The 22708-nt window shown below is 37.8% G+C and overlaps 2 pseudogenes across 1 annotated transcript in view; both read right to left on the bottom strand.

Moving 5' to 3' along the window:
• Positions 4580 to 5143, bottom strand: BNIP3P43 (BNIP3 pseudogene 43; annotated as a pseudogene).
• ANKRD30BP2 (ankyrin repeat domain 30B pseudogene 2) overlaps positions 7136 to 22708 on the bottom strand; it is an 80086-nt pseudogene continuing 64513 nt past the window's right edge. Inside the window, exon 12 of the transcript NR_026916.1 lies at positions 7136 to 7549. The product of NR_026916.1 is annotated as an ankyrin repeat domain 30B pseudogene 2 (transcript). The remainder of the gene's footprint in view (positions 7550 to 22708) is intronic.

Below are 22708 nucleotides of genomic sequence, written 5' to 3'. Positions count from 1 at the left end.
CTGAGTGTTTGTCCATCACATAGTATTCCAGAACACTGCTCCAAGGGTCTGAATGTTTTTCCCTCTCAAAGGATTCTAGAACACTGCTGCTGGGTTCTGAGTGTCCCTCACATACGATTCCAGAACACTGCTGTGAGGTTCTGAAACTTTGTACGTCACTAAGGATTCCAGAACACAGCTGCTGTGTTCTGAGTGTAGCTCACATAGGATTCCAGACCTCTGCTGCTGGGTTCTGAGTGTTTGTCCCACACATAGCATTCCAGAACAATCCTGCTGGGTTCTGGGTGTTTTTCCCTCACATAGGATTCCAGAGCACTGCTGCTGGGTTCTGAGTGTTTGTCCCATATATAGAATTCCACAACAATGCTACGACGATCTGAATGTTTTCCCCTCACATAGGATTCCAGAACACTGCTGAGTGTCTGAATGTTTGTCCCTCACAAAGGATTCCAGAGCACTGCTGCTGGGTTCTGAGTGTTTGTCCCTCATATAGGATTCCAGAACACTGCTACGGGGGTCTCAATGTTTTTCCCCCACAAAGGCTTCCAGAACACTGTGGCTGGTTTCTATTTGTTTGTCCCTGTCAAAGGATTCGGGAGCACTTCTGCTGGTTTCTTAGTGTTTGTCACGCACATACGTTTCCAGAACACTTCTACGAGTTTCTGAATGCTTGTCCCTCACAAAGGATTCCAGAAAACTGCTGCTGGGTTCTGAGTGTTTGTCCCTCACATAGGATTCCAGAACTCTCCTGCTGGGTTCTGTTTGTTTACCCCTCACAAAGGAATCCAGAGCACTGCTGCTGGTTTCTGAGTGTTTGTCCCTCACTCAGGATACCAGAACACTGCTACGATGGTCTGAATGTTTGTCCGTCACAAAGGATTCATAACACTGCGGTGGGTTCTGACTGTTTGTCCCTCACAATGGATTCCAGAAAACTGCTTTGAGAGTCTCAATGTTTGTCCCTCACAAAGTATTCCAGAGCACTGCTGCGGGGATCTGTGTGTTTGTCCCTCACATGGGATTCCAAAACACTCCTGTTGGGTTCAGAGTGTTTTCCCTCACATAAAATTCCAGAACACTACTACAAGGTTCTGAATGTTTGTCCCTCACAAAGGATTCCAGAACACTGCTGCTGGGTTCTTAGTGTTTGACCCTCACATAGGATTCCAGAACACTGCTGCTGGGTTCCGAGTGTTTCTCCCTCACATAGGATTCCAGAACACTGCTGCTCGGTTCTGTGTTTGTCTCTCACATAGCATTCCAGAACACAGGTACGAAGTTCTGAATGTTTGTCGCTCAAATAGGATTCCAGAACAATGCTGCTGGGTTCTGAATGTTTGACACTCACACAGGATTCCAGAACACTGCTGCTGGGTTCTGAGTGTTTGTCCCTCACATAGGATTCCAGAACACTGCTTCGAGGGTCTGAATGTTTTTCCCTCACAAAGGACTCCAGAACACTGTTGCGGGGTTCTGAGTGTGTGCCCCTCATATAGGATTCCAGAACATTGCTACGAGGGTCTGAATGTTTTTCCCTCACAGAGTATTCCAGAACACTGCTGCTGGGTTCTGAATGTTTGTCCCTCACATAGGATTCCAGAACACTGCTGCTGGGTTCTGAGTGTTTGTCCCTCACTTTGGATTCCAGAAAACGGCTACGACGGTCTGAATTTTTGTCCATCACAAAGGATTTTAGAACACTGCTGCTGGATCTGAGTGTTTGTCCCTCACACAGGATTCCAGAACACTGCTTCGATGGTCTGAATGTTTGTCCCTCACAAAGGAGTCTAGAACACTGCTGCTGGTTTCTTAGTGTTTGTCACTCACATAGGATTCCAGAACACTGCTGCTGGGTTCTGAGTGTTTGTCCCTCACATACAATTCCAGAACACTGCTACTAGGTTCTGAATGTTTGTCCCTCACAAAGGATTCCAGAACACTGCTTCTGAGTTCTGAGTGTTTGTCTGTCAAATAGGATTCCAGAACACTGCTGCTGGGCTCTGTTTGTTTGTCCATCACAAAGGATCCCAGAACACTGCTATAAGTTTCTGAGTGTTTGTCCCTCACATAGGATTCCAGAACAATTCTACGAGGCTCCGAATGTTTGTCCTTCAGATAGGATTTCAGAGCACAGTGGCTGGGTTCTGAGTGTTTGTCCCTCACATAGGGTATCAGAACACTGCTGCTGGGATCTGAGTGTTTGTCTTTCACAGAGGATTCCAGAACACTGCTGCTTTGTTCTGAGTGTTTGTCCCTCACATAGGATTCCAGAACACTGCCGCTCGGTACTGAGGGTTTGTTCCTTACATAGAATTCTAGAACACTGTAGCTCATTTCTGAGTGTTTGTCCCTCACTTAGGATTCCAGAACAATGCTACGATTGTCTGAATGTTTGTTCCTTACCAAGTATTCCAGAACACTGCTGCTGGGTTCTGAGTGTTTGGCACTCACATTGGTTTCCAGAACACTGCTATGAGGGTCTGAATGTCCCACACATAGGATTCCAGAACACTGCTAAGAGGGTCTGAATGTTTTTCCCTCAGAAAGGATTCTGGAACCCTGCTACTGGATTCTGTTTGTTTGTCCCTTACAAAGGATTTCAGAGCACTGCTCCTGGTTGCTGAGTGTTTGTTCCTCACATAGGATTCCAGAACACTTCTACGAGTGTCTGAATGTTTGTCCCTCAGATAGGATTCCAGAAGACAGTGGATGGGTTCTGGGTGTTTGTCCATCACATAGGATTCCAGAACACTGCTGCTGGGTTCTGAGTGTTTGTCCCTCACATAAGGTTCCAGAACACTGCTTCTGAGTGTTTGTCCCTCACATAGGATCCCAGAACACTGCTGCTGGGTTTTGAGTATTTGTCCCTCTCATGGGATTCCGGAAACCTGCTGCTGAGTTCAGACTGTTTTTCCCTCACATAGGATTCCAGAACACTGCTGCTGGGTTCTGAGTGTTTGTACCTCACATTGGATTCCAGAACACTGCTGCTGGGTTTTGAGTGTTTGTCCCTCACATAGAATTCCAGAACACTGCTACGAAGTTCTGAATGTTTGTCGCTCACACAGAATTCCAGAACACTGCTGCTGGGTTCTGAGTTTTTGTCCCTCACATAGGATTCCGGAACACTGCTACGAGGGTCTGAATGTTTATCCCTTACAAAGGATTACAGAACAGTTCTGGAATCCTATGTGAGGGACAAACACTCAGAACCCAGCAGTGTTCTGGAATCCTATGTGAGGTCAGTGTGGGGGGATGGGTGAGGGATAGCATTAGGAGATATACCAAATGCTAAATGATGAGTTAATGGGTGCAGCACACCAACATGGCACATGTATACATATGTAACAAACCTGCACATTTTGCACATGTACCCTAAAACTTAAAGTGTAATAATAAATTTAAAAAATTAAATAAAAAAATTTAAAAAAGAATTAACATAGTTTTATGTAGTCTTCAGTAGACAACATTCATCCATGTAAATTAAACAGTATTTTCTACAATCATGTGAATATAAGGCCACACTATTTACTATGAATAAATCCCTTAAATAGTAATTTTAATATCAGTATTTATTCTTTTGAAATATAATTACAACTGAGTTAAGGTTACAGATAATTTTAAAAATGTATGCCATTACTAGTATATTAAGATTATTTATACTTAGATATTTATATCTAATATCCAAAGAAAATTTACTATCTAATTGTTACAGTAGATATTAATCTGACATGCTTATTAATTCATCCCATAGATATAATAATAGGTCAGCTGGGCGTGGTGGCTCACGCCTATAATCACGGCACTTTGGGAGGCCGAGGCAGGCAGATCACCTGAGGTCAGAAGTTTGAGACTACCCTGACCAACATGGAGAAACCACGTCTCTACTAAAAAAAATACACAATTAGCCGGGGATGGTGGTGCATGCCTGTAATCCTAGCTGCTCGGGAGACTGAAGCAGGAAAATCACTTGAACCTGGGAGGTGGAGGCTGCAGTGAGCTGAGATTGCACCATTGCACTCCAGTCTGGGCAACAAGAGCAAAACTCTGTCTCAAAAAACAAAACAAAACAAAAAGATAGAGTAGTAGGTTAGCAAAATTTTACATTCTATCTTTTTTTGTTGTTTTTGAGATGGAGTCTGGCTCTGTCACCCAGGCTGGAGTGCAGTGGCATGATCTCAGCTCACTGCAACCTCTGCCTCCTGGGTTCAAGCGATTCTCTTTCCTCAACCCCTAAGTAGCTGGGATTACAGGTGTCTGCCACCACCCCTGGCTAGTTTTTGTATTTTAGTAGAGATGGTGTTTCACCGTGCTGGCCAGGCTGGTCTTCAACTCCCGACCCAGGTGATCCGCCTGCCTCAGCCTCTCAAAGTGCTGGGATTACAGGCGTGAGCCACCGCATCCTGCCTCACAGTCTATTCTTATGTTTTACTATATTTGGAATGCCACTCTTACAGAACAAATCAATGCAAGTGATGTGACTACCCAAAAATCATGAATCATAATAGTCTTCAGTTAGATATGTTGCAATCTCAGATATAGTTCTACTATGTAAACAGAGTCAAATTCCAATTCTTTATCAAAAAGTGCTGGCGAAGGTTGCCTGATGTGTTCCAGTGTAGATCCTCAATCCAATGGCCAGCAGATGAGAGAGCAGCAGAGATGGAAGAAAAATCTTAAGAAATTCTGCTGAGAATATGCCCCCTTTCTTCATAACACTGTGTTTCTTGTGTTGAGAGCAGCTGTGCATTTTGGGTGTTTAGAGAGAAACTGTCTCAGGGGAGTATTTTCTGGTCGACTTGGCTAATATTATATGTAATCTGAATTTTTCTTTCAGATACCTTTAACCTCTTAATACAATTTTATTCAGACTGAGAGCTGTTTTTCTCTTCAATGCTTTCGGTGTCTGTCTTCAGAAGGGACACCCAAAAGTGTCTCATGGTGTTTCTGAGTGAGTTGGGCTGTCACAATGAGAACTCTTTGGCACTCTATCCAGACCCATGCTGGGAATCCAGCAGTATTTTTTTGTCACCATTATAAATAGAAACGTAGCTGAAACATTGCTCCCATTTCCATTATTGCAAAAGTGCAATCCTACCCAGGAGTCCTGCAGGTTCTCCTCCTGCAGTTCAGGGACCCTGCTCCATAATGTGACTCTGGAGTGCAGCTGTGGTGGTTGGAGTCCATGTGGAATGTGGGCTGCCAGCTGTGTGCTGTGAGCTGTGCCTCAGTGGTAGATGGTAGGGGAAGAGATGGGACACAGGCCACCAGGACAGGGCAAGCAGGATTACTGCAGCCCGTGGCCTAGGGAGTAGGGACCCTTTGCTTTGAAATGTAAATAGCCAAAAGAATAGTATCCTATTTCACAGTGTCTGTAAAAGAACCAGAGCCTACATTCAGCAGGCACCTGGCTGTAAGTTGCAAAACTATCTCGTATCATGAAGATGTCAGAAGTTTATTTTTCCTTTCAATATAACCAATTAACATACACAGATGGCCTCCCCAATTACCAGGTGAATTCAGGATAAACTGTGTATGACAAATGGTGCTGTCAAGTCTTCTACTTGAGGACTAATTATAGAGACCTTTCTGTCTTTGCAATCTCTTGAGCAGATTGTCTGTGATTCTTGTCACATCACATTCTGGTTTTGTTGTGCAATAAAACACTTTTCTTTCTGGTCTGTTATTGTGGGGTTTTTCTAGGACTGGAGATAATTTTCCTTTTAATTATATTTCTCAAACCCTGTTCACAATTACCAGACATTGTATATATGTATAAATTGCCCCCCAAGCTTCATTTTAGAGAAGGCTTTCCCCCTCAGGCTTCCAGTCAACTCAGTCAGTTGTGCTTCAAAGTGCACACTGCCCCCAGAGTATGCAGGCAGACTTGTGTCTCTGCCTGTTTCACATCTATAGTCCTCTACAACCACTCGTAGAGAGGTTAAGCCTTTCTACAAGTGGTTGACAAAATTCACAGGACAGTAATCAGCCATTTCACCTCTTTCAGTGACCATAGTGTCTTCAGACCTGAAACTGAGTTGGAGACTATTAGGCCCAGAAGAACAATTAGGGTGACATGTGTGCATTGAGTAAATGTGAGTATCTCAAAGTTCCTCTTTCTCCTCCTCCCCAAATTCCCATAAATGTGCAGTTAACACCTGCCATTTCTCCATCCATCCAGGACCTAAATCTACAATACCAAATTCTGAATCTCGGTCTTGAGATTAGAGGAAAAAGAATAACTTTGATCTGAGGATTGCAAGTCCTTTTGGTTTTATCAGGCTCGGAGAGACATAAAAATGAGAACATAATTATGTTCTACTGCCTCCTTTGAGCTACATGTTTGCCTCTTGAAACTGTTTGCTATCCCTACAAGTAGATATAAATTAACCTAATAATGCCACACTAGATGTTATAAGCAATACCTCACAGCTTAAAAATATATAGCCAATTAGTCATCAATGTATTTTTGTAGATCGAGAAGAATTTCTGACAAACAACTTTGTTTCAGTCCACTCCCTGTCCCTCTCTTTTGCCTTTGTAAATCCACTTGTAACTGCTGCTAAGTAAAGTGTACATTCAAGGTAACTTGAATCTATGCTCCCAGATTTCAATCCTCAGGCTTGGCCCAAATAAATTCTCTACTTAAATGAGTGTTGCCTTAACCTTTTCTTTTTAGGCTGACATATCATGTCCTAGAGCAGACTTTATGATGGAAACTTTTTTTTTTTTTTACTCTCCTTGCTGTAACACCAAAGAATGAAGAGTCAGGTTGATCTTACCTGTAATCTGTACATAAGAGCTGAGCTCTCCCTGGGAATCACAGGAGAGAGCCAGATTTTGGATTGAGAATGTACAGAAAACCCATAGGAGACATTTTCTGATCTGTGAGATGTCAGCATAGAAATCTTAAAGCCCTCCTTTCAGAGTGTATCCCTTTGAGCTTTCCAGATCTTTTCCAGTGACCTGCTATGTTTATGTGAGAGGCTGCTGGTGTAAATAGAATCTGGTTGCACAATCTGTAAGTGTAAACATGCATGTCAGCAGGGAGAGATCAAAGCCACAAAATACCCAGAGCAATGACATAAGTTTACCTATTTGTAAAATGTGATACTGGAGTAGAGTATTCTTGTCCTTTCTCTTACCTAAGACCTAGCTAATCAGAACAGGTGATATCACACATAGATCCAGGTTCTGGAGCTGTACCAGGGCAGTTCCATTTTCTATTTATAATCAGCTTGAGTCTTTCCTACCTGGATCAACATACGGTCATCAGTCCATGGTCACTAGGAATCCTCTCACAATCACCCGGGAATCTTTAAGACATTTCAGGATGTCCTGTACAGACTTGGGTCAGGCTGGCAGGAGTGTCTAATTCTGCTTCCATGTGAGAGGAAGGGAAATGAGTCATTCAGTGTCTGTTCCTTCTTTTGTAGAAATAATCTCCTTGGTTGGTACCTGGACGAGAGTTTCTCCAGTTTCCTTGGCAAAAAATTCAGGAGTTCTGGAGACTCAGACTGATAAACAAATTGCCTCCATTTCATATGGCCTTTAGAAAAATAGATGAAGCAGTCATGGTCCCTGTCATTCAAAAACTCTCAGTCTAGAACAACTGGATAAATAGTTTAATTAAGCATCATATAGTCAATACAATAAAGTGGGAGTGTTAAGGGGACTTGGGCAATGGCTCTGATGTTGTTGTGACTTCTGATGTCACCACCAGAAGAGCTATTCTCAAACAGGAGAGTTATTTGTATTTCTATTGCTTTTACCTTGCTAAGAATACATATTTTCTAATAAAATTATCCTAGAAAGCCCTAAAAATTTTGGTTAAATTGCTTATTATTATACGTTATAAAATAGAGTAGTGGCTAAATGGATTAAAATTATACAAACTCTTAAGTTTCTCTTGGACAGGCTTAGGAAAGACAGAACAAGAAGTACTCCAGCAGTATAGAGATCATAATTCAACATAGGACAGTTTCTCCACCCCAGCTCTGTCCAGATTCACCATTTTCTGAGACTCATTCAGGTCTGGTCCCACCCTGGAGTCTCTCCTCACAGAACTCATTAGAGGAGACCAGAGATTTGGGAGGTGGCTCCTGCTGCCTCTCCAGAGCTTATGCTCACAATATTCTGAAACCCAAAAGCAGATAAATTAGAGCAATAAACTATATATTTTGAGGTCTTAACTTCTTTCTTTCTAATTAAAACCAGTGCTTGTAGAGACATTCCATCCCAGTAGTTACTCCACAAGTCACAAGAAAGTAAATAGAAACACACTAAAAAATCCCTCTAAACTACACTTAACCCTTTCCTTTCTGTATCCCTCCCATCTGTCTATATTTATCTCTTATGCCATACATTTTTTTAAAAAAATCAGTGAGAGGCCGGGCTCTGTGGCTCATGCCTGTAATACTAGCAATTTGGGAGGTCGAGGTGCGTGGATCACTTGAGATCGGGAGTTCAAGACCAGCCTGACCAATATGGAGAAACCCCATCTCTACTAAAAATACAAACTTAGCTCAGTGTCGTGGTGCATGCCTGTAATCCCAACTACTCGGGAGGCTGAGGCAGGAGAATGGTTTGAACCCAGGAAGCGGAGGTTGTGGTGAGCTGAGATCGTGCCATTGCACTTCCAGCCTGGGCAACATGAGTGAAACTCTGTCCCCCCCCGAAAATAATCATTAAGAGATAAACAGGGAAGAAAACAATGCTGGTCCCTTCATCTAAATTCTGAGTATTATTGAACACTTAGTACCCAACTCTCAAGTTGTTTTGAAGATTAAATCACATAATGTGATGTTCCCAGCACAGTGCTCTGTAACACACTCCTGAGCACATAGTACCTGCTTAATAAGCATTGCATAAGTATATGTGTACATGTTGTTTTTCAGTGCAGACTTACTCAGACATTGTTGCCTTCTCCTGTCTCTGTAAACTTTAAAGAGCTAGCAAAGAATGTGTTTTTTCAGGATAGAGATTGATTGTTTATTTGATCAGAAGTATTTGTGTTGTGATGAATGATGAGTGTGAGAGTCTGTTCTATGCCTGCTTTTTCTAGCTAAATGCTACTAATGATGGGTCTGTGGAAGCTACATCAGCATTGACAGGAGATGTGTTTAAAATGCACTTTCATGGATGCTTTTAAAACCTGCAGAATCACATTACATAGTGTGGGGCCAGGGTTACCAAATGATTTATATGCACATTGAAGTTTGAGAGGCAATGCTTAGCTAAGTGGTTCTTGGCCCAGGCTTCTAATTAAGATTCCATGGCCAGGTTGCAGAAATCTTTTCACTTGTGCCCTTCCCGCAGGCTCTGTATATTGTTCTGGGTGGAAGCATCCTTGTTGATATAATTAAGTGCCTCATGTGACTCCAGGTTGAGGCCAGGGTCAAACACGAGGAATTCAAAATACATTCATGAGAGTTGAGTTCAAACTTTATTCCAAAGGGAGGTCACAGGGTCTACTATGGTTGGATTTGGTAGGTACAAGTTAATGTGGTCCATATCCCCATTGCTGTAGCAGAAATTGTGGCGTCTGTGGCAGGAAAAGAGAAAGATAAATTTTGATCTTTGTGGAGCAGCTCACTGTCCTTGAATCTCACCTGTTATAAAGAACATAAATGGGTGGACATGTTCTGCATGCCTGGATCTTTCTACCTGTGTTTGTGGTGGTAGCAGGTGAAGAGATTGTGCTGATTCCTTTAAAGGCATATTCCAAAGATGCAGGTGTGACTTGTCCAGAGAATATCACCTGAGAAGAAATGCTAGAGAAGGATGATGAAGAGAAAAATGGCTTTTTCTCAGGTGACTGTGTCTCAGATTAGGAGCAGTGTTCACTCTGCCTCCTGGAATGCCATATGTTTAGAACTTACAAACCTGTACTTCTTGACTTTATGCTGTTTCTCCCTATAAGTTTGTTTAAACATTTTTTCTTCTCATGATAGTCAAGCAACTCTGAAATATATTATTTTCTATATACTAGAGTCTTCTCGACATTCTCTTCATCTTGGCTTCTTCTCTGCCATGCGGAATTCTCATCATTAATTATGACTCGTAATATTAAAAATATTCCCTTTGGCTGGGCGCGGTGGCTCATGCCTATTATCCCAGCACTTTGAGAGGCCGATGTGGGTGGATGACCTGAGGTCAGGAGTTCAAGACCAGCCTGGCCAACATGGTGAAACCCTGTCACTACTAAAAATACAAAAAATAGCTGGGCATGGTGGCGGGTGCCTGTAATCCCAGCTACTTGGGAGGCTGAGGCAAGAGAATCACTTGAACCCAGGAGGTGGAGGTTCTGGAGGTTGCAGTGAGCCTACATCGTGCCACTGCACTCCAGCCTGGGCAACAGAGGGAGACTCCATCTCCAAAGAAAAAAAAAAAAAGAAAAATACCCTTTGTTGCTGGTGCTGGTGCACATGGAAAGGTATGGATACCCAAGATTCCTACTGGGGAAGAGGTGGGGTTCTTAGATATTCATGAAAAAGGGGAATATGTAATGTTGAAGTTCTGTCTGTGTGCTCCATCAACTCCATGTGGAACAGGATTAAAATATGCACATTTGAACAGGATGGTATTTGTTACCCAGAATAATTCAGAAAGTTTTGAAAAAAATAATTAGAAGATACTCGCTTTCTAGAATGCTGAAGAAAGTCTGCGTAAATACTTTAATAGAGATTACACAACATGAGCGATTACTGTAGTTTGCATTTTGCATAAAACTTGTTTCTTTATGATTAGATTTGAATTATAATTTACTTCTTTGGCGGGGGCCAGTATCACAGCAGTGATATTGTGTCGTTCTGTGAGCATCAGCGCATGATGAAAATTTGTTCTGTTATAATTGGTGTTAATTTGATTCGTTGAGTTAAATAGTTCTCTGAGAATTTTTTTCCACTGTAGAGTTATTTTTCTCTTTATTATTGAGTACCTTGGGGACATTTACCAGCTGATGTGAATAAAGCATCCCATGTAATCTGGAAGTTCTCTTTTCTTCTTAGATTGTCTTTGCATATGTCTTTCTTTAAAAAGTGAAGTCTCTCATCTTTGTTTACTGGTCATAAAAACCCAGGCTCTGTCACTTAATGAATGTTTGACAAAATATTTATCTTGGGCCAGAAAGATTGGTGTCACTTGTGAGCTTGTTAGAAATTCAGAAACTCAGGTTTTACCTCAGGTTTCTTGAAACAAAATCTGCATAAAAAGATCTCCAGTTTATTGTTGTACACATTAAAATTTGAGAGGTACTTTATAACTAAGCCTGACTTTTTAATCTGAGAAATATGCAGAACTTATACTGTATGATTAAATGGAGCACTCAAAAATGTACATGTCTATGTTCCTGTTGTTAATTTTGTACTTTATCATTCAAAAAATATCATCAATACACTACACTGGTATTGTGAATCTTATGCTCTCTTTTCTCAGAGATAGAGAATGCAACAGAGAATATTTCTTTGTTGGGAATTATTTTATAGGACAATTTTGGTCGTATCAGTCAGAATCAGTTCTCTTCACTCATTTTATCTTGAGTCAATTTAAGAATTCTGCCTATGGCCACTTGAAGTGGGTGTGTGTGTGTTTTCAGGGACTGTTGACATTCAGGGATGTAGCCATAGAATTCTGTCTGGAGGAGTGTCAATACCTGGATGCTGCTCAGCAGAATTTGTGTATGGATGTGATGTTACAGAACTACAGAAACTCTGTCTTCTTGGTTGAGGATAACTTCAATATAGAATTTCTAATTTACCCTGAAGGTTTCATTTTCTTCCTTTGTAGGATGTGTTTTGGTAATTTCTGCTTTGCATGAGTAAATTTCAGATCCCTGTTTTTAAGACAATCTTGCGGATTTTTTGGTGTGGAAAATGAATTCTTCAGGTTGTTTCATTTTGACCTGAATTTTCCCCTTTCCTGAGTTTATCTATGTTATTCACTCTAGATAAGTGGTAATTTCAGAAACTTAGTGACATAAAATAATGTTGTCCACACCTTAAAATTCAATTGCCACCACCAATTTTTGATTCAGTAATACTGGGGAGTGAAACAGAGGACACTCATATTTAATATACTTTCTGAATACGCTAAAGGTTCTGTCAGTAAAAAGTATTTTGGGATTAATTTTCTAGAATCTTCTATTATGTCCTCTTTTCTCTACTTAGCACAGTATTAGGTTGGTAAATGGAGAATCCCAGGAAAAGTCATGCTCATGATGCTTTTTAAAATAAAACAGGTATTGTCTTCTCTAAGCCAGACCTGGTCACCTGTCTGGAGCAAAGGAAAAAGCCATGGAGTATGAAGCACCCAGGTAGGTGAAAGCGAATGAAGAAGAGGATGACATAGATGAGGCATCCAAAGGCCGAGAGGAACCCGGACTTTTACATGTGATTTGGGAAGCTGTGCTCCAGTGGAAATCCTTTCTGAGAAGCCTGGGTTTTTTCACTTGTTCTCACATAGGGGCATCCTCTGTCCCATGCTCTCTAGTGACTCTACATTTTCTTCAATAATTTTTCTTCAGATTTGCAGTGAGAGCCAAAGTTCTCTTTATGGCTTATAAAACAGTGCACAATCTGACTACTTTTATTGCTTTTAGGGATATACAAATAGCTGCATATTTTTTAGAAACCCTGTGTTTACCCATTTTTAAGTTCTCTTTCTGCATTGTGTCTGAAATATGTAAAAGTAGTGATATTGAGATTTGGTTCAGAAATCCCAGAAATACAACCCACATATGTTGTATGTTTTCTGCTTTATAGTTTCTTATTTTATGGAGGTTTCAAATGTGTTTCTACAGAAATTCATACTCGGTAATTTAATCAGAATATTAAGTATCTCTTTAAGAATATCTAATGTTATTTGAATTGAAATTTTTATTCTTTTAGTACTAACTGAGGTTGGTAATTTCAATTCTGTCTTAATTTCTCAACTGTAATATAACGTAGATATTTCCTACATTTCTACAATTCACTATGTCAGGGAACTTAGAACATTACTGAGCATATGTTAAGCTCCCACTTCTTTCCTTGTTTTTTAAATTACTATTTTTTAATTTTATCTTGTTCAGGATAAAGTTTACCAGAACTGTAATTTATATGTGTGTATATATATGTAGGTGTGTATTGTGGATTTTTTTATAAATAAAAATTGTATATATATTTATTGTGTACAATGTAATGACTTACTGCATGTGTATATTGTAAAATGATTAGCACAATTATGTTTCTGAGCATTTTTATCACCTTTCCTCACATAGGTACCTTTTTTGTAATGAAAACATCTAAGGTCTGCTGACACCAAATTTTAAGCATACAAAAATTTAGTGTTAACTGTATCATGAAGCTATACATTACATTTGAAAAACTTACTCATAACAGAAAATTTGTCTTTTCAATATCTTTTCATTTTCTCCCATATCTAGTCCCTGACAACTTCCATTGTAGTCTCTGCTTCTGTGAGTTCAGCTTTCTTAGATTCCCCATATAAGTGAGAATGAACAGTATTTCTCTTTCTATGTCTGGCTTATTTCCCTTGGCATAATGTCTTCCAGTTTTACCCATGTTGTTGAAATGGCAAGATTTAGTTATTTTTCAGGCTAAATAATATTCTATTGTTTATTTATACCAGCTTTTCTTTATTCAGCATCCACTAACATTTAGGTTTTTTATATCTTGGCAATTGTGAATAATGCTGCAACAAATATGGTGGTACAGATATGTCTTCAAGTTACTTATTTCATTTCCTTTTGTTATATACACAGTATTATATGCACAATACTACTATTGCTAGATTGTGTAGTAGTTCTGTATTTCAGATAACCTCTATTGGTTTTTGTAATGACTCCATCAATTTATAACTCTCCAAGAATGTACAGAATTTTTTTTCTTCAAAGTGTTGTCAACACTTGTTATGTTTCTTCTTTTTACATTATCCATTCTAACATGTTTGAAATGATACTCATCATAGTTTTGATTTGCAATTGCCTGATATTTGGTGATATTGAGTACTTTATGGCTTATGTGTTGGCCATTTGTATGTCTTCATTGGACAAATAACTGTTTAGTTTTTTGCCTATTTTGAACTGGGTTACTGTTGTTTTTGCTTTCAATCTGCTTGCATTTCTTATATATTTTGTATATCAATCTTTTATCAGATGTATGGTTTGCAAATATTTTTTCCCATTCTACAAATTTTTTTATTTTATTGTTCTCTTTTCTGTGCAGAAGGTTTTTAGTTTGATGCAGTCCAGCTTGTTTATATTTGCTTTTGTTGCTGTACTTTTGGTATTATGTCTAACAAATTATTGTTAAGACCATATCATGAGGGTTTTCCATGTATTTTTTTTCAGGTTTTTTAAGGATTCATATTTAAGTCTGTAATTTAACTTTTAGCATGGTGTAAGAAAAATAAGCTAATTTTATTCTTTTGCCTGGAGGTATCCAGTTTTTTCAGAAGCAAATATTAAAAAGACTATACTTTGTTCATTGTATATTTTTGGTGCACTTATCAAAGATTAGTAAACTTTATATGTCTGGGTTTATTTCTGGGCTCTATTCTGTGCCATTGGTTTATTGTGTCCATATTTTGCATGTATCATCTGTTTTTTTACTACAATCTTAAAATATAGTTTGAAATCATAAAGTATGAAGTTTGGTTGCTTTGTCCCTTTTCCTCTAGATTGCTTTGGTTTTTCAAAGCCTATCGTAGTTTCATGTAAATTTTAGAATTGTAATTTCCATTACTGTGAAAAATGTCACTGGATTTTTAATAGAGAGTTCATTGAAACTGTAGATCACTTTGAATCATATGGTGCTTTATAATATTTATTCTTCCAGTTCATAAACTTGAAATCTTTTTGCATTTATTTGTGACTTCTTCCACTTCTTTCATCAATATATGTTTCAGTGAAAAGATCTTTTGCCTTCTTTGTTAATTTTTCAGAAATTTATTATTTTAATTCTATTGGAAATGAGATTGTTTTCTTCCTTTTTTATCAGATGGTTTGTTGTTAGCATATGGAATCATAACTGATAATTATATGTTAATGTTATATATTGCTAATTTTCTGAGGGCATTTGTTATTTTTTGATGTATTGTTTATGGTTTTCTATTTATAAGATCATGTCACCTACAAACAGCAACCTTTTAATTTTTTTCCTCAATTTGAATGTCATTTTTAGGGTCATTTTCTTGACTAATTCTTCTGCAAAGTACTTTCACTGCTATGTTAAAATAGAAACATTGACAATGGAACCATGTAGCCTTACCCCGGTGTCTATAAATTTGAAGAAGCAAACAGCTCTTTAATTTTTTATAAACTGTTTTCAGGAGGTACAGATCTTCTTTTGTTCCCAGGGTAATGGGAAGCCCTATGAGCTTGTAGTAAGGAAGAGTTTATAACTGTGTCACAAGGCTGCTGGGTATGCAGTGGATTCAACCTTCAAGTGGCTTTTTACCAGGGGCTTTGGTTGTTGTGATTCCCATCTAATGTCTGGGCGGGCTGGATTTCCTTCAGGACTTTTATTTATAGTGCAGAAACTAGGACAGATTTCTGCAATTGGGTGTGCATATGGTGGACCTTATGTCGGGATGTGGTAAGTGTGGCTACCACTGAGTATTTGGAAGTTTTTTTCCACATCACTGTGTGGGTTCCTGTGTTGGCAGGAATTGTTGTGAACTGTGGCAAAGACAGCTGAAACTGAGTCACTGAACTCCTTCAGCGGCCACAGTAGAGGCCAAGGTCTGCAGGCCACAGTAGAGGCCCAGCTGGAGTGCAGTGGCACAATCTTTGCTCACTGCAACCTCCGCCTCTCAGGTTCAAGCAATTCTCCTGCCTCGGCCTCCCGAGTAGCTGGGATTATAGGTGCCTGCCACCATGCCCAGCTAATTTTTTTGTGTTTTTAGTAGAGATGGGGTTTCACCATATTGGCCAGGCTGATCTCTACCTCCTGACCTCAGGTGATCCGCCTGCCTCGGCCTCCCAAAGTTCTGGCATGACAGGAGTGAGCCACCATGCCCAGCCTTCTTGGCTGATTTTCAACAGTTGTCTTATTATGTGAAGGTGAGTAGTCATAGAAACAGTGGTATATTCACTAGGTGTTTAATGATAAATATATATATTTTCTTTGTGTGAGAGAAACACTTTAGTGATTTGAAGGTGATTTATGTTTATATATTTATGTATTTTATGATTTATAGAAAGACCTATATCACTTTTAGTTGTTTTCAAAAAAAAATGTGAAAACACATGACATAAAATTTACCATCTTAAAGTTTTTTAAGTCTATATTTCAGTGCTGAGTGTGGTGGAGGCTCATGCCTATAATGCCCGTACTTTGGGAAACTGACGCAGAAGTATTGCTTAAGCCGAGGAACTTGAGACCAGCCTGGGCAGCATATAGAGAGCCCTTCCCCACAAAAATTTAAAATTAGCCAGGTGTTGGGTTGTCCACCTGTGGTCCTAGCTCCTTGTGAGGCCGTGGCAGGAGAATCACTTGTGCATGGGAGGTTGAGGCTGCAGTGAGCTATGATTATATGACTTCATTCCAGCCTGCAGGACAGAGTGAGAACCTACCTCAAAAAAGGTGTACATTTTAGTTGTTAAGAGTATTTACATTGTTATGTAAAGACCTCTAGAACTTTTACGTCTTCTAAAATTAAGACAATACCCATTAAGTAACAACTGCCCATTTTACCCTCTCTTTAGACCTTGAGTAATACCATTCTCCTTTCTGTTTCTATTTGACTACTTATGATGACTCATATCATGGAATCATATAGTATCTGTCACTTTATTACTATCTTATTTCAGTTGACATAATATCTCAATGTTTATGTAAGAATGTGACAGATTTACTATTTTAAGGCTGAATAATATTCCACTGTATGTATATGTCACATTTTTAATTTGTTTATCAGTCAAGGGATATCTGGGTTACTTCTGCCTTTTGGCTTTTGTAAATATTGGTATAATATATTTATATATTGTATATATATAAATATATGTGTATATATTTATATATAATATATTGGTATAATATATTATACCAATATTTAATTTTTAATATATATAAAATATATATTTATTTATATAATATATTTATTTATTTAATATATATTATATTTATATATAAAATATATAAATATTGGTATAATATATTTAATATATATTATATTAATATATATTAAATATATAAATATTGGTATATTTATTATACCAATATTTGAAATATATATTCAAATATATCTTCCACGTTCTTTGTTTGGATATAGATTTATATTTGGAGTATACATTTATATTTATGTTTGAATATAGATTTATAAGTGGAATTCTTGGATTCCATTTATATATATATTAATATATAAAAATGTATTTTATATTCCAGTCAAATAATATGATTTATATTTGAATCTAGGTTTATAAGTGGAATTATATAATTTAAATTTTAAGAAACATTCATAATATGATGGTTGCATCCTTTTTCCCCACTCAATTCACATGAGTTTTAATTTCTTTACATCCTCAACAGATTCGGCATTTAAAAAATTTATCGTGGCCATTCTAATGGGTATGAGGTGGTTTTGTTTTGGATTGTAATTTTGTTTTGTATTTCTCTACAATTGGTACTTTTTTTGCATTATTTTAAGTGCTTTTTTCTACTTACATATATATTTTTGATTAAACATCAGTTCAATTCTTTGTGCATTTCTAAATCAATTTATTCATTGTTAGTTTTTCAGTTTTAGTTGTTTATAATTCTGAATATTAACTCATCACATGTAATTTGCAAATATTTTCCCCCATTTCTTCGGTGGCATTGTCATTCTACTAAATATTTTCTTTGGTGTGCAGAAAATTTGAAGTTTAGCACAGTTAAATTTTGGGGGTTTTTATGTTTTTCATAAGTATGATGTCATATCTACAAAAAAGTGCCAAAACCAGTGTTCTGTATTTTCCCTATTTTTTTCTTCTAAGAGTTGTATTAGTTATATGTTTTTTAGTTTCATTATTTTATTTAAAATGTGCAAGAAAATAATCCAACTTTATTTTTTTCAGTGTAGATACTCAGTTTTCAGCATCATTTGTTGAAGATATTTTCTTTTCTCTATTGTGTAGTCATGGCAGCTTTGTGGAAGATTATTTGATTATATAAAGAAGGGTTCATTTCTGGGCTATTTTGTTCTATCATCTGTTCATTTGTCTCTGTTAGTACCACATTGCTTTTGTTTATTATAGCTTTTTAATATATTTTGAAATCAGGAAATTTAATGCCTCTTTGTTCTTTCTCATGGGTGTTTGGCTAGTTTTAGCTCATAATCAATTTAAAAAGTTTTAAACAATATTTCTGGTCAACAATGTACCATTGGAATTTCTTCACCACCGTGAGTTGTTTTCACATTTAGATTAAATTATCTGGACCTTGAGCAAGAATATATTAAAGAGTGTGTTTTATTTCCATATATTTTTGAATTTGCCAGTTTATCTCTTGATTTTGATGTCTAGTTTCATTTTATTTTAGTCAGAAAACATAACTGTATAATTTTGGTCATCTTAAATTTATTTATTTATTTTTGTTGCTATTGAGAGACAGATTCTCACTGTGCCACTCAGGCTGGAGTGCAGTGGTACAATCTTGGCTCACTGCAGCCTCAACCTCCGAGGCTCAAATAATCCTCCCACATCAGCATCCCAAGTAGTTGGGACTACATACGTGTGCTTTCACGCCTGGCTAGTTTTTTGATTTTTGGTAGAAATGCGGGTTCTCACTATATTGCCCAGGCTGGTTTTGAAATCCTGGTCTGAAGGGGTCTTTCCTCCCAAAGTGCTGGGGGCTACAGGCCTGCGCCACCACACCTGGCCAGGCTTCTTAAACTTAATAAGACTTGTTATGTGTCCTAACAGAATGCACCAAGTTCGAACAAGAATATTGTGTAATCTCTTCCTTTTAACTGGAGAGTCCTGTACATATTTTTAATGTGTAGTTGGCCTATGATATGATTTGGATGTTTGTACCCTTCAAATCTCATGTTGAAATGGGATTCCCAATGTAGGATGTGGATCCTTGTGTGATGTGTTTGGGTCATGGGAGCAAATCTCTTGTAAATGACTTCACGCCATCCCCTTCGTGATCAATAAGTTCTCACTCTGTTAATTCACATGAGAGCTGCGTGTTTAAAGAACCTGGCACTTTCCTTTCACGCTTGCTCCCTCTCTCCCCATGCAATATGTCTGGTTTCTCTTTGCCTTCACCATGATTGTAAGCTTACTTAGACCCTCACCAGATGCAGATGCTGGCACCACACTTATTGTACATTTTGCATAACTATGAAGAAAATAAATCTTTTTTCTTTATAAATTACACAGTCTTAGGTACTTATTGCAATACAAAATGAATTAATACAATTTATAATGTCATCCAGGTTTTGTTCTCTTATTGATGTTTTATCTAAACTTTCACTCATTATTAAAGTGGGGTCTTAATGTCTGTGATTATTATGTTGCTATGTATTTTTTGCTTCACTTCTGTCAATATTAGCTTTATATATTTTGGAACCCTGATCTTTTAAATAGATGTAATAGTTATAGATTCCTGGTAAATGACCAATGTTACCATTATATAGTAACAATCTTTACCTCATGCTAGTTTTTGATTTACAGCGTATTTTGTCGAATATAATTTATGACCACCTCACTTAATTGTGGATACTGTTTGCATGGAATATGCTTTTTCATTCTGTTTCTTTCAACCTATTTGACTCAAAGTTAAAGTGAGTCTCTTGAAATCCTGGTCTCAAGCAATCTTCCAGTCCTGGCCTCCCAAAGTGCTGGGGCTACAGGCATGAGCCACCACACCTGATTAGTCTTCTTAAACTTAATAAGGCTTGTTATGTGTCCTAACAGAGTACACTATGTTTGAACAAGAATATTGTGTGATTTGTTGCATATTGTGTGATTTTGTTTGTTCTTATTCCATTGGGCCATTTAATTTCTTATTATTAGTTTAATCAATTTATGTTTAAAATGATTCCATAGAGAAATGAAGTTACTATTACCATTTTGATTGTTATTATTTTTTGTGTTTCTTGTAGAGATGTTTTCCATAATTTCCTATTTTACTGTCTTAATTTTTGCTTTTTTGAGTTTGTAGTGTTATGCTTTGTTTCCTTTCTCATTTTGTATTGCATACTTTCTATAAACTTGTAATTATCTAGGTAATTGGAGATTATGTAAAACATTTTAAAGTTATAACAATATTAGTACGTCATAACTTCAGTTGAATACAAAAACTATACCTCTTTACATCCCGTAGTGGGTTTTTTGTTTGTTTGTTTTGTTTTGTTTTGTTTTGTTTTTGAGATGGAGTCTCGCTCTGTCACCCAGGCTGGAGAGCAGTGGTGTGATCTCGGCTCACTGCAACCTCCGCCTCCCAGGTTCAAGCAATGCTCTGCCTCAGCCTCTCAAGTAGCTGAGACGACAGGCACCCACCCCCATGACCGGCTAATTTTTCATATTTTTAGTAGAGATGGGGTTTCACCATCTTAGCCAAGCTGGTCTTGAACTCCTGACTTTGTGATCCACCCATCTCGTCCTCCCAAAGTGCTGGGATTACAGGCATGAGCCATTGTGCCCAGGCTTACATCCTGTAGTTTTTCATTATTACAAATATTATTTTATATTGTGTATCTATTAACAGATTTATGCAGATTTTTTGTTGAAATTCTATAGCAGAATTTTAAGAGATTTTGCTTAATGATTATGGTAGTAAACAATTGTATATGTGTTTATATATTTACATTTAACAGAAAGTTTATAGTTTCATGTAGTTTTTTAAGATTGTTCAGCATCATTATATTTTTCAACATATGGACTCTTTTCGGCAATAAAAAAATAAACAGCATCTCACTATGTTACTCAGGCTCATCTTGAACTCTTAGCCTCAACTAATCTGCCTGCCTTGGCCTCACAAGACTCTGGGATTACAGACATGAGCCACTGGTGCCTGGCCACCATGTAGCATTTCTTGTGGGACCATGCCTGTGGTGATAAATACCTTCACTTTTTGTTTATTTTGTAAGTTCTTTATTGTTTCCTTATTTTTAATTCCAGAATAATTCCAAATAATTTCAAAGCAAACAGTATTGATTGGTATTAGTTTTTCTTTTATCACATAAAAATTTGGAAAGTTCTCATCCTCTTTTATCTTCAAATAACCCCTCTAACTACTTTTTCCCTACATTCGTCTTCTAAGATTTCTTTTCCAAATGTAGTAATCTACTTAATGGTGTTCAGTAAGTTTAACATTCCATGTTTTCATTTTGTTTTGCAATTTTATTTTATTTCATTTTACTTCATTTAATTTTATTTTTTTTTGAGACACAGTCTTGCTCTGTCGCCCAGACTGGAGTGCAGTGGCATGATCTCGGCTCACTGCAAGCTCCACCTCCCAGGTTCACGCCATTCTCCTGCCTCAGCCTCCCTAGCAGCTGGGGCTACAGGCGCCCACCACCATGCCCAGCTAATTTTTTGTATTTTTTAGTAGAGATGGGGTTTCACCGTGTTAGTCAGGATGGTCTCAATCTCCTGACCTCATGATCCGCCCGCCTCAGCCTCCCAAAGTGCTGGGATTACAGGCATGAGCCACCACGCCCAGCCAATTTTATTTCTTTTTTGTTTCATATTTTAGAGTATGCCAAGTGACATCAGTTAATTGTGTTTTTAGTTTTTATTTTTATGACAATTGTGAATGACAATATTCAATTCTGTACACTTTAAGACAGCGTGGAGCCAAAGTTACATATGAATCAGTCATATCTCTATTCCCAATATAATAATTTCTGTGTTTGTGTATACACATATTATTTCTGTATTGTTTATGACTTGTATGTTTGTGAGTGATCAATGGTCGTTTTATCTGAGTAGTCATAAAAATTCTCCTACTTCTAATATCTATTTGGGAATCTATTTTTGTGTGGGAGAAACACTTTTTTGATTTGAAGGTAATTTTAAAAACTGTCAATTTTGTCCCTTTTTTAAGGTATTATTACTGTTTACTTTTAATTATCAAGAACATAAAATTTAGAATCTTAATTTAAAAATATGTAGTTTATATTAACTATATTGACATTATTATACAATATATCTGTAGAATGTTTTTGTCTTACAAAACTAAAACTGAATACACATTAAACAACTACTCAATTCTCCCATTTTCTGGCCCTTTACAAACAATTCTGTTTTCCTGTTTTTGAGTCTAACTGCTTTAAATATCTCATGTAAGTGGATTCATACCATATTTTTTGTGGCTGACATATGTTATTCTGCATAATTTCATGAAAGTTTGTTATGGTTGTTTGTTAGAATATTTCCTTTTTTTTAGGCGGAGTTTCGCCCTTGTTACCCAGGCTGGAGTTCAGTGCAGCGATCTCAGCACACCACAATCTCCACCTCCCAAGTTCAAACCATTCTCCTTCCTCAGCCTCCTGAGAGGAGGCTGGGATTACAGGCATGCACCACCATGCCCGGCTAATTTTTGTAAGTAGAGATGGGGTTTTTCCATGTTGGTGAGGCTGGTCTCGAACTCCCAAACTCAGGTGATTCACCCACCTCGGCCTCCCAATGTGCTGAGATTACAGGTGTGAGCCAGTGTGCCTGGCCTGTATTTCCTGTTTTTAAACACTGAGTAATATTCCATTATTTTTATGTTTC

Source organism: Homo sapiens, chromosome 21 (assembly GCF_000001405.40).
Source record: "Homo sapiens chromosome 21, GRCh38.p14 Primary Assembly".
Classification (NCBI taxonomy): Eukaryota; Metazoa; Chordata; class Mammalia; order Primates; family Hominidae; genus Homo; species Homo sapiens.
Note: the sequence above shows the minus strand (reverse complement) of the source record. Positions and strands in the feature narration are given on the sequence as shown.